The 10,995-nt window shown below is 59.3% G+C and overlaps 2 protein-coding genes across 36 annotated transcripts in view, besides 1 other annotated feature; both read left to right on the top strand.

Annotated features, from left to right (window-relative positions):
- Positions 1-3,584, top strand: part of DOCK6 (dedicator of cytokinesis 6) — a 63,230-nt gene extending 59,646 nt beyond the window's left edge. For all 8 annotated transcript variants that reach the window (NM_020812.4, XM_047439124.1, NM_001367830.1 and 5 more), the window contains 7 exons: positions 170-295; positions 396-485; positions 754-990; positions 1,827-1,970; positions 2,057-2,163; positions 2,410-2,571; positions 3,340-3,584. In NM_020812.4, coding sequence (NP_065863.2) covers positions 170-295; positions 396-485; positions 754-990; positions 1,827-1,970; positions 2,057-2,163; positions 2,410-2,571; positions 3,340-3,382 — 909 coding nt within the window. In that variant the 3' untranslated portion in view covers positions 3,383-3,584. The remainder of the gene's footprint in view (positions 1-169; positions 296-395; positions 486-753; positions 991-1,826; positions 1,971-2,056; positions 2,164-2,409; positions 2,572-3,339) is intronic.
- Positions 4,851-5,470: a silencer, noted in NCBI's record as "silent region_10103". NCBI's record gives its function as "represses an Ori minimal core promoter by ATAC-STARR-seq in GM12878 lymphoblastoid cells {active_cell/tissue: GM12878}" and the evidence as "EXISTENCE:reporter gene assay evidence [ECO:0000049][PMID:35858748]".
- The window catches only part of KANK2 (KN motif and ankyrin repeat domains 2), a 33,596-nt gene continuing 27,614 nt past the window's right edge, over positions 5,014-10,995 (top strand). For 2 of the 28 annotated variants that reach the window (XM_047438572.1, XM_047438569.1), the window contains exons 1-5: positions 5,014-5,172; positions 6,652-6,829; positions 6,998-7,323; positions 8,289-8,404; positions 8,837-10,048. In XM_047438572.1, coding sequence (XP_047294528.1) covers positions 8,368-8,404; positions 8,837-10,048 — 1,249 coding nt within the window. In that variant the 5' untranslated portion in view covers positions 5,014-5,172; positions 6,652-6,829; positions 6,998-7,323; positions 8,289-8,367. Of the gene's footprint in view, positions 5,173-5,333; positions 5,416-6,651; positions 6,830-6,997; positions 7,324-8,288; positions 8,405-8,836; positions 10,049-10,995 lie in introns of those variants that run through there. The other 26 variants (NM_001379557.1, NM_001379551.1, XM_047438576.1 and 23 more) reach the window with 17 other exon arrangements.

The raw sequence follows: 10,995 nt of genomic DNA, 5'->3' as shown, positions 1-10,995 counted from the left end.
CTATTGCAATCCATGCCCCAATGTTCTCAGGGCCCCCTGCCTGTGCCCATGCCCTGATGTTCTCGGGGTCCTCACACTCCCATCCTGATATTCGAGACACCTATCTCTGGGGCAGGGAGACCTCCAGCAGGGGCCTCCCGGACAACCACACCCTTTCTCACAGCCCCAGCGCGTGTTCGGGACGTATTTCCGCGTGGGCTTCTACGGCGCCCACTTCGGTGACCTGGATGAGCAGGAGTTTGTGTACAAGGAGCCATCGATCACGAAGCTGGCAGAGATCTCACACCGGCTGGAGGCACGTCCTTGTGGTTGGGGGTGGAACGGGGCATGGGGCTGCCTTGGGGCTGGAGTAGGGGCTGTCCCTGGGTGGCCCCGAGTCAGCCCTGTGTCTCCAGGAGTTCTACACGGAGAGATTTGGCGACGACGTCGTTGAGATTATCAAAGACTCTAACCCTGTGGACAAGTCCAAGCTTGACTCACAAAAGGTGGGTCCCCCAACCATTTCCCCAAAATCTTAGATTCACAGAGACTCCAAGTGCTGTTTCCTGGGGACCCTCAAATCCTCTTTCTCTGGGAAACCCCAAATCATATTTCACTGAGGGACCCCAAAACCTATTCCTCAGGGGATTCCCAAACATCCAGACATAGGAAGACTTGGAAATGACAAAGTCCCCAGATCCCCTCTCTCCAGGAACAGGGCTTGGGCTGTGCGTGCTGGGGCTGTGGGATCCTCACACCTGACCCTGCGCCCAGGCCTACATCCAGATCACGTATGTGGAACCGTACTTTGATACCTACGAGCTCAAGGACCGGGTGACCTACTTTGACCGCAACTATGGGCTTCGCACATTCCTGTTCTGCACGCCGTTCACGCCGGATGGGCGCGCACACGGGGAGCTGCCCGAGCAACACAAGCGTAAGACGCTGCTCAGCACCGACCACGCCTTCCCCTACATCAAGACTCGCATCCGTGTGTGCCACCGGGAGGAGGTGGGTGGGGATCCTGGGCCTGGCGGGGGTGGGGAGGTGAGGGGACATCAGACCCTGGGAGGGGAGGGGAGGGTAGACACAGGGACCCAGACCCAAGGTGGTTCACGGACCTCAGACCCAGAGAGGGGTGGCACAGGGACCCTAGACCAGATCCCCAGGGAGGGGAGGGGAGGAGACCAGACCCAGGGAGACCTGGGAGGCAAGATGCAGGGACCCCAGACCCAGGGTGGCCCAGGGATTCCAGACCCAGAAAGAGGAGGCAGAGGGAGCCCAGATCTAGGAAGGCCCAGGGAGGAGAGGTGTGGCCCAGGAAGAGGCCCAGGTACCCCAGAACTGGGCTGAGAAGATATGGAGACCCTGCATTCCAATCTCTAAACTGAAACCTCTACCTCCAGACCCAGGAGGACCCAGGGATTCTAGACTCACAAAGGGGAGGCACAGGGACTCCAAATCTAAGAAGGCCCAGGGAGGAGAAGCCCAGGGATTCCAGACCCAGAGAGGAGAGGCGTGGACACGCTAGACCCAGAAATTGGCTCATGTACCCCAGAACCAGGTTGGGGACCCCAAACTCCAACTTCCAGTCCAAATCTCTACCTCCAGACCCAAGGAAGTCTGGAGACCCCAGAGGTAAAGCCCCTGGACCCCAGGGCACCAGACCCAGCAGACCCAAGGCTGGACCCCCCCAGAGTCAGACCCAGGAAGGCCCCCAGATTCTGTTCATTGCCTGGGTTCTTGGACCCCTCTCACTCCCAGCGGGGTCTGAGCTGCCCCCGACTGGCTTCGATCAGGACCTCCTCAGGCCCCAGCGAGTACACACCCCTCCCCTTACCCCACAGACGGTGCTGACGCCAGTGGAGGTGGCCATCGAGGACATGCAGAAGAAGACACGGGAGCTGGCCTTTGCCACCGAGCAGGACCCACCAGATGCTAAGATGCTACAGATGGTGCTTCAGGGCTCTGTAGGGCCCACCGTGAACCAGGCACGGCTGGTGGAAGGGGGATGCAAGCCGCACGGGGGACTCCAGGTGCCATGCAGGCTGGCTCACCAGTCCCTCTCACCCCACAGGGTCCCCTGGAGGTGGCCCAGGTGTTTTTAGCAGAGATCCCGGAAGACCCCAAGCTCTTCCGGCATCACAACAAATTGCGGCTCTGCTTCAAGGACTTCTGCAAGAAGTAGGCGCAAAACCCCCCAGGAGGGGTCTCGTGTCTGCCTAACCTGCATAGGCCTGCTCTCTGCCCATCTGATCTCTGCATGGCTCCCCCATCTGCCCGATTCCCATTAAGTCCACTCTCCCAACCTGACCTCCTATTGCGGGTCTTTCTGCAGGCCTGGTCCCGCCTTATGGGTGCCCCCACCCCTAGTCTTGCTTTCAGTCCCGTGTGCGAGTCTCTGAGCATCTCCCACCCTCTGGCCCTCAGATGTGAGGATGCGCTGCGGAAAAATAAGGCCCTGATTGGGCCGGACCAGAAGGAGTACCACCGTGAGCTGGAGCGCAACTACTGCCGCCTGCGGGAGGCTCTGCAGCCCCTGCTTACCCAGCGCCTGCCCCAGCTGATGGCACCCACCCCACCCGGCCTCAGGTGCCTGACCTAGTGCCCCCATCCTAGAGACTAGAGAGGGGATGCAGAGGCAGACCAGGACAGGTACAGGATGGGGGCTGTTGTACACATACACAGCAACATGTTTGCTGGTAGCTTGGACTTTGTTTTGTTTCCGGTTTTTTTTTTGTTTTTTTTTTTGAGAGACTCTCCCTCTGTTGCCCAGGCTGGAGTGCAGTTGGCACAGTCTTGGCTCACTGCAACCTCCGCCTCCCAGATTCAAGCGAGTCTCCTGCCTCAGCCTCCTGAGTAACTGGGATTACAGGCATCTGCCACCACGCCTGGCTAATGTTTTGTATTTTTAGTAGAGACAGGGTTTCACCATGTTGGCCAGACTGGTCTCGAACTCCTGATCTCAGGTGATCCATCCGCTTTGCCCTCCTAAAGTGCTGGAATTACAGCATGAGCCACCACCACGCCTGGCTGCGGTGGCTTCAATTTTGCATAAGCATCTGAATATGTCATCCAGATGTACAAAGGCAGGGCAGGCTCTGAGCAGTCATTTCCCAGATACATGAATTCATCTTTCTGAGCCTCAGTTTCTACATCTGTAAAATGGGGATGATTCATACCTTCCGTGGTGGACTGCAAGAGAGAATCGGAGAATCCCACAGCCAGATCAGGGACAGGAGAGATCCCAGAAGGATCCTTGGAGGAAGACGAGGAGGAGGAGGAAGAGGATGTGGGCTGGGAGGTCTATGGAGTTGGGGGCCCCATGGCCATGCTGACCCACCCTCATTCTTTTTCCAGGAACTCCTTGAACAGAGCAAGTTTCCGAAAGGCAGACCTCTGAGCCCACAAGGACCAAAGCTGTACCTAGAGGAACCAGCACCCGGGCCTCAGCTGTCTGTGCTGCGAGGGGAGTCTGCCCTGGTGCCCACTGGGCTGTGGGGTGACCACACTGTACTTGGGGCTGGGCCCTCTGCCCCTGTGTCCCCATCTGTGTGCACTGATGCTTCCTCCCTTTTTTAATTTAAAATGGTTTTTATAAGCAACCTGTGCCATGTGGTGCGGTCACTAGGGGCTGGGTCACATGCTCATCACATGCTCACAGTCCACTGCCCCATATCCACACATCCCTGCATCATCAATGGGGACACCAAGAACATACTGGGTGCCAGGGACATCGTGGTGACAACAGGCAAAAATTCCTGCCCTTGTGGAGCTGATGTTCTAGTAGGGAAGGCAACACACAAATAATGTCACATGCTTACCTGCAATAACAATACCTGGTTTTTGTTTGTTTGTTTTTAACAGACGCTCTCACTCAGTCCCCCAGGCTGGAATGCAGTGTCACAGTCATAGCTCACTGCAGCCTCAAACTCCGGGGCTCAAGCCTCCTGAGTAGCAGAGATTATAGGCACATGCCACTGTGCCTGGCTTTTTTTTCTTTTTCTTTTTTTTTTTTTTAGACAGAGTTTCACTCTGTCACCCAGGCTGCAGTGCAGTGGTGCAATCTCGGCTCACGGCAACCTCCACCTCCCAGATTCAAGTTATTCTCATACCTCAGCCTCCCGAGTAGCTGGGATTACAGATGTGCACCACCATGCCAGGATAGTTTTTGTATTTTTAGTAGAGAAGGGGTTTCACCATGTTGGCCAGGCTGGTCTTGAACTCCTGACCTCAGATGATCCACCCACCTCGGACTCCCAAAGTGCTGGGATTACAGGCATGAGCCATTTCTCGGCCCCAGGTGGTTTTTTGTATTTTGTTTTTTGTAGAGATGGCGTCTTACCATATTGCCAAAGCTGGTCTCCAACTCCTTGGCTCAAATAATCCGCCCACCTTGGCCTCCCAAAGTGCTACGATTACAGGCATGAGCCACTGCGCCTGGCCTAATTTTTTTTCACTTAAAAATTTTTTTGCATAGACAGGGTCTTGCTATGTTGCCCAGGCTGGTCTCGAACTCCTGAGTTCAAGCAGTCCTCTTGCCTTGGCCTCCCTAAGCACTGAGATTACAGGTGTGAGCCACCTCGCCGGCTTAATAATATTTATTAAGCCCTTGCTGAGTGGCTGGCTGTGTACTAAAAGGGCTCCCAGAAAGATCTCTGCAAAAGTAGGCCACTCCATTTATGAGAGTTTTTAACCCGAAGGGCCTCCTTCCTGATGGTTAGGCCCCTTCCTAATGGTCAGTGAATCTTCTCAACGCTCCTATCAGGTAGCTAACATGATCATCTCCATTTTACAGATGAATAAACTGAGGCACAGAGCAGCAAAAGTTTGGTGGGTCTGGGATGGGAATGCAGGTCTGGCTGGCGCCGGCGCCCAGGACTCTGCAGCCTCCCTTCTCGCGCGGCGGTCACGCCACCGTGTGCCAGGACTGCGCTGGGCCGCTTCCAGCCCTGGGCCGCCTGGGGGAGGGGTGACCTCCCGCTGCCGCGCCCGCCCCGCGCGCCCTCCCCGAGCTGGGCCCCGGCCAGCTCCACCCCCTCCCGCCGCCGAGCCGTTCCGCCCCCCGCAGCGGCCCAGGGACAGCAGGCGGTGGGGGGGAGGCCGGCAGTGGGAGGACCCTGCCTCGGGGACTTAGGGAGGAAGGAAGGACGAGGCCGGACACCCCGGCGCGCACACACACCTGCTGTCCAGGTGAGATCCAGTCTCCAACCAGCGTCTCTCCATCCCCACCCCCCACCGCGGCCGGGGCGCCCGGGCGGCTGGAGGGGGCGGTGCCGGCTGGGGGGGCGGGACCAGCCGGAGGGGGCGTGGTGCGGGCGGAGCCACCTCCGAGGGCCGGGCGCCCAGGCTGCGGCGCGCGCGAAGACGCTCGGGCGGCGGGACCCAGGGAAGGCAGCGGCCGGAGCGCGCAAGGCGAGTGGGACCCGGGGCTGGGTAGGGGTTCAAGTCTGGTTCGGGGATCGAGTGTGCACCCCCTCCACACACACCTACTACCCTACCCCCCGCCTCCAACCCTGGGACACGACCTCGCTGGTCTCAACGAGCCGCTGCCTCCAACTCCACCTTCTGTGCCCAAACTTTCCAGACTTGGAGTGTCTGTCCCCGCGTCCCTGCCCCCTCCTCGTCTTTGACCCCATACCCCCATCGATTCCTCCCAGTACCCCCCATCGATTCCTCGTGCCCTGCCCGTTTCTCCTGTCTTGGCTCCCCTCTGCCCGCTCTCCCCTGTCTCTGTCCCACTTTCTGCCTCTGTTCCTCCCCGGCTCTGCCCTCTCCCCGCACTGTCCCCCCTCGCCCTCCTCCGCGGCCATGCCCCAGACGGCGGGAAGGCGGCCGGGCGTCCGGCCGGGCTGGGCCTGGGCTTGGCGGCTGGGCCGGCGTGGGGAGCGGCAGCTGTTTGCCATTAGCCCGGGATCCCACAGGCCCCGCCCCCTCTCTGCACGGGGCGGGGTCCTTCTCGCCTCCCCCCACCCCGAGTTTGGGGCGGGAAGACCCCCCCCCACCACCACCACCGACCTCCGCGATGTGCAGGCCGGTCTTGGGTGGTGGGTTGGGGAGACCCGCGCCCCTTCCCTGCGCTCCCTACCTGTCCCCTCTTATAGGCTCCAGTCTCTCCATCTCTGTCTTATCCTGTCACCCCTTCCCCATTCCCCAGGGGTCCCATGGCGAGAGAAGGGTCTCAGCCACAGACATCCATCTCCCCCACCACACCCCCTCGTCTCCTTTCTCTTCCCCTTACTCGGGACGTGCTGGTCCTCATCGAGGGCGGTGAGATGACTGAGTACCCTCAGACCTCAGTCTCCGTATCTGGGAAACGGGTAGAGATATCTGATGTGGAGTCTGAGGGTGGTGGCTTGGTGGGCAGTGGGGGGATCCACCAGGCTTAGGTTCATGTTCAGGCCCAGCCACTTCCCCATGGCCCCAGTGACCCCGAGGAAGCCACTGTACCTTTCTGTACCCTCTGCATCCCCTGTCTGTGAAACGGGGCGATAAGTGCCCATCTCATAGAATTGTCATGACAATTAAAAGAGTTGATGTTAGGCTGGGTGCAGTGGCTCATGCCTGTAATCCCAGCACTTTGGGAGGCCAAGGCGGGCGGATCACCTGAGGTCAGGAGTTCGAGACCAGCCTGACCAACATGGAGAAACACCATCTCTACTAAAAATACAGAATTAGCTAGGCGTGGTGGCAGGTGCCTGTAATCCCAGCTACTCAGGAGGCTGAGGCAGGAGAATCGCTTGAACCTGGGAGGCAGAGGTTGCCGTGAGCTGAGATCGCGCCATTGCACTCCAGCCTGGGCGACAAGAGCAAAACTCCGTCTCAGAAAAAAAAAAAAAAAAGAGTTGATGTTAGTATTACTGTTACTATACTATTTACCCAGCAGCACCCTCACTTCCCCCACCCCCAGCCCACCCCGCTCGGCTATTCCAATCCTGCTCCAATCCCGCTTGCTCCCTGCTTCTCCATCTCTCTTTGGTGGCCAGAAAATATTTTCAATCAACTTTCTGTTGCTCAGGGGTGAGCCTCCAGGCAAATGGAAAACGGAATTTCCTGCAATTGGTGACCATGTGTTCCAGGTGTTGAAAGACAGAGAAGCGAAGACAGAGACGTGGAAAGACAGGGAGAGAGACACGGAGAGAGACGCAGAAGGACAGAGACGTGGAGAGAGACGCAGAGAGACAGAGACGTGGAGAGACACAGAGAGACGTGGAGAGACACAGAGAGACTTGGAGAGAGACAAAGCAAGACAGGACGGGAGAACAAGGACAAGCTCAGGTGCCCCTGGAGCCCCAGCCCTGCCTTCATGCCCAGCAGGTGCCCTACCTGGCCCATCCTCCCAAGGTACCTGCCGGCCCCAGCACTCAAAGGCCAGAAAGGATTTACTCTGATGGTGGGATGGGCTGGGGCCTCTGCAGCATGATGGCTGGAGGTCAGATAACAGAAAGGACCAGCCAAGTTCAGATGGGTTATATTGGGGACAAAAGAGCCCTGGCCGGCCTCCAAGGCTGAGGGGGGTTTAGTGAGAGGCTCTGACTGTCCCTCCCTTTTGCAGCCTCCAGGCGCCCCCTCTTACTTCCTCCCCTCCACCCCCAGGACTTCCTGGGCCTCCACCCGGCCCTCTATCCCTACTGCGCCCCTGGGCCCGGACGCATCCTAGGCGGGCAGGAAGTTCTGTGTAGCCCGGCAGTGAAACTGTTTATTTTTAGAGAAAATTGTTTCCATAAAGGGGAAAGGCTTCACTCCTAGCTGCCTCCCCAACTTTCCCTACCCCTTCCCCCCGACCCAGTCCAGGCCTGACCCAGCTCTCAGCTTTGGGGTCACTGGGGGTCCCCTTCGCCATGCTTTGCCTCTCTTTGTCCCCCTGCGTCTCTGTCTCCTCAGATCCTTGCAGGAAGACGAGGTTCCCTTCTTCCCCAACCCCTTAGCGCCTCAACCCCCATCCTTCCGTGTGGCCAGCTCCGGGCCTGGGCTGAGGGGAGGGGGTGCAGGAAGGGTGGGGCCTGTTGGGCTTGGGGCCCCCCAGCCCCAGGGCTATGTGGAGGCTGGGCTATGGGAACAGCTGGAGCCTGTCCAGGGCCTGGACAGATGTGCAAGCAGGCAGTGAGGTTTGGTTTCTTTGTTCCAGACCTGCGGGGGGGAGGGGGTCGGGGGGGGCCCTTCCGCAGCCAGGCTGGGTGTGCGTCTATGAGTGGGTCCCAGACCTGGGTTGGGGGGCTGGGTGAACCAGCTGTGGAGGGGGCTGGCCTCATCTCCTCCCCTCCCCCTACAGACTCCTAACTCCCGGCGCCGTGGTTCTCTTTCCCCAGGTAAGCCTCAGCCGGTGCTGCAGGCAGTCTGACTCGCAGTCCCTCAAGTGACTTCCAAGGAGCATCTGTAGAAAAGAAGATGGCCCAGGTCCTGCACGTGCCTGCTCCCTTCCCAGGTCAGGGGACTCAGGGAAGAGGGCCCTGCCCCGGGGAGCTTCAGTTCTGGAGGCCTGAGGGGGCTGGGGACCTTGCCCTGGGGACTTTGAGGGTGGGACACAGCCCAACAATTAGAGGTCTGAGGGAGGAGGCAGAGTCCTGCCCTGGGAGGGTCTGAAGGGGGAGGCAGAGTCTTACCGGAAAAAGGGGGTAGTCTAAGCCGAGGGATAGAGCCCTGTCCTGGGGGATTTGAGAGGCGACATAGCCTAGCGCCGGGAGTCTGAAGGGGAGGCATAGCCCTGCTCTGGAGGGTCTGAGAGCAGACGCGGTTGAGTACCAGGTGGGCTCCCATCTCTTCGGCAAATAAACCCCAACTCTCCCCAGGCATCAGTCTTCACCCTGAGAATGGGGACAAGAGGATTCAAAGGTCCTGGTGTTTCTCCCATCCCCAGGGACCCCTGGCCCAGCCTCCCCACCTGCCTTCCCTGCCAAGGACCCCGATCCACCCTACTCCGTGGAGACCCCCTATGGCTACCGCCTGGACCTGGACTTCCTCAAGTACGTGGATGACATCGAGAAGGGCCACACGCTGCGACGCGTGGCAGTGCAGCGCCGCCCCCGCCTGAGCTCGCTGCCCCGTGGCCCTGGCTCCTGGTGGACGTCCACTGAGTCGCTGTGCTCCAATGCCAGTGGGGACAGCCGCCACTCAGCCTATTCCTACTGCGGCCGTGGCTTCTACCCTCAGTATGGTGCTCTGGAGACCCGCGGTGGCTTCAATCCGCGGGTGGAGCGCACGCTGCTGGATGCCCGTCGCCGTCTCGAGGACCAGGCGGCCACACCCACCGGCCTGGGCTCCCTGACCCCCAGTGCGGCCGGCTCGACAGCCTCCCTGGTGGGCGTGGGGTTGCCACCCCCGACACCACGGAGTTCAGGACTGTCCACACCGGTGCCTCCCAGTGCCGGGCACCTGGCCCACGTGCGGGAGCAGATGGCGGGTGCCCTGCGGAAGCTGCGGCAGCTGGAGGAGCAGGTGAAGCTGATCCCTGTGCTCCAGGTGAAGCTCTCGGTGCTCCAGGAGGAAAAGCGGCAGCTCACAGTACAACTTAAGAGCCAGAAGTTCCTGGGCCACCCCACAGCGGGCCGGGGTCGCAGCGAGCTCTGCCTGGACCTCCCCGATCCCCCAGAGGACCCAGTGGCACTGGAGACCCGGAGTGTGGGCACCTGGGTTCGAGAACGGGACTTGGGCATGCCTGATGGGGAGGCTGCCCTCGCCGCCAAGGTCGCTGTGCTGGAGACCCAGCTCAAGAAGGCGCTGCAGGAGCTGCAGGCAGCTCAGGCCCGGCAGGCTGACCCCCAGCCCCAGGCCTGGCCACCGCCGGACAGCCCGGTCCGCGTGGATACAGTCCGGGTGGTAGAAGGGCCACGGGAGGTGGAGGTGGTGGCCAGCACAGCCGCTGGCGCCCCCGCACAGCGGGCCCAGAGCCTGGAGCCTTACGGCACAGGGCTGAGGGCCCTGGCAATGCCTGGTAGGCCTGAGAGCCCACCTGTGTTCCGCAGCCAGGAGGTGGTGGAGACAATGTGCCCAGTGCCCGCTGCAGCTACCAGCAACGTCCATATGGTGAAGAAGATTAGCATCACAGAGCGAAGCTGCGATGGAGCAGCAGGTAAGCGGTCGCAGGCAGGCAGGGGAGAATGGCTTGGGGGGGGGGGGCCTCTTTCTTCCCATGGCTCATCCTGGACTCTCAGAACGCCAGGGTCCAGGCAGGGTGCGGTGGCGCATGCCTGTAATCCCAGCACTTTGGGAGGCCGAGGCGGGCAGATCACTTGAGGTCAGGAGTTGGAGACCAGCCTGGCCAACATGGTGAAACCCATCTCTACTAAAAATACAAAAATTAGCCAGGTGTGGTGGCGTGCGCCTGTAAACCTCAGCTACCCAGGAGGCTGAGGCAGGAGAATCGCTTGAACTAGGGAAGCGGAGGTTGCAGTGAGCTGAGATTACACCACTGCACTCCAGCCTGGGCAACAGAGGGAGACTCTGTCTCAAAAAAAAAAAAAAAAAAAAAGAATGCCAAGGTCCAGCCCCAGCCCCCGACCTTCCACCAGACACATCAGTCCAACTCTTAGAGTCTCTGTCTTATCATCCACAAAAGGAGGAGAATTGTGCAGCCAACCCTCAGGGCTGTAGCAACCATGCAGAGAAATTAGGTGACTGCCACTTTGTCAGTATCCAGAAAGTGGGAGGTATTTGGGGGAAAGTTCCCCAAGGCTGTTGGTTTACCAGGCAGAAACCTCCCTGTTTATTCAGTAAGTGGCAGGAATCAATCTCGGAGCTGTTCAAGCAGTGAAAAGGAAATGTGTTATTACGTAACTGATGACAGCTTCAGGCATGGCTGGATCCAGGTGCACAAATATCTTGTTCTTGTTGTCGTTATTAAGAGATAGAGTCTCGCTCCATTGCCCAGGCTGGAGTGCAGTTGGTGTAATCATGGCTCACTGCAGCCTTGACTTCCTAGGCTCAAGCAATCCTCCCGCCTTAGCCTCCCAAGTAGCTGGGTCTACAGGCATGCACCACTGTGCCTCGTTAATTTTTTTTATTTTTTGTAGAGACAAA

This window comes from Homo sapiens, chromosome 19 (genome assembly GCF_000001405.40).
Source record: "Homo sapiens chromosome 19, GRCh38.p14 Primary Assembly".
NCBI lineage: Eukaryota > Metazoa > Chordata > Mammalia > Primates > Hominidae > Homo > Homo sapiens.
Note: the sequence above shows the minus strand (reverse complement) of the source record. Positions and strands in the feature narration are given on the sequence as shown.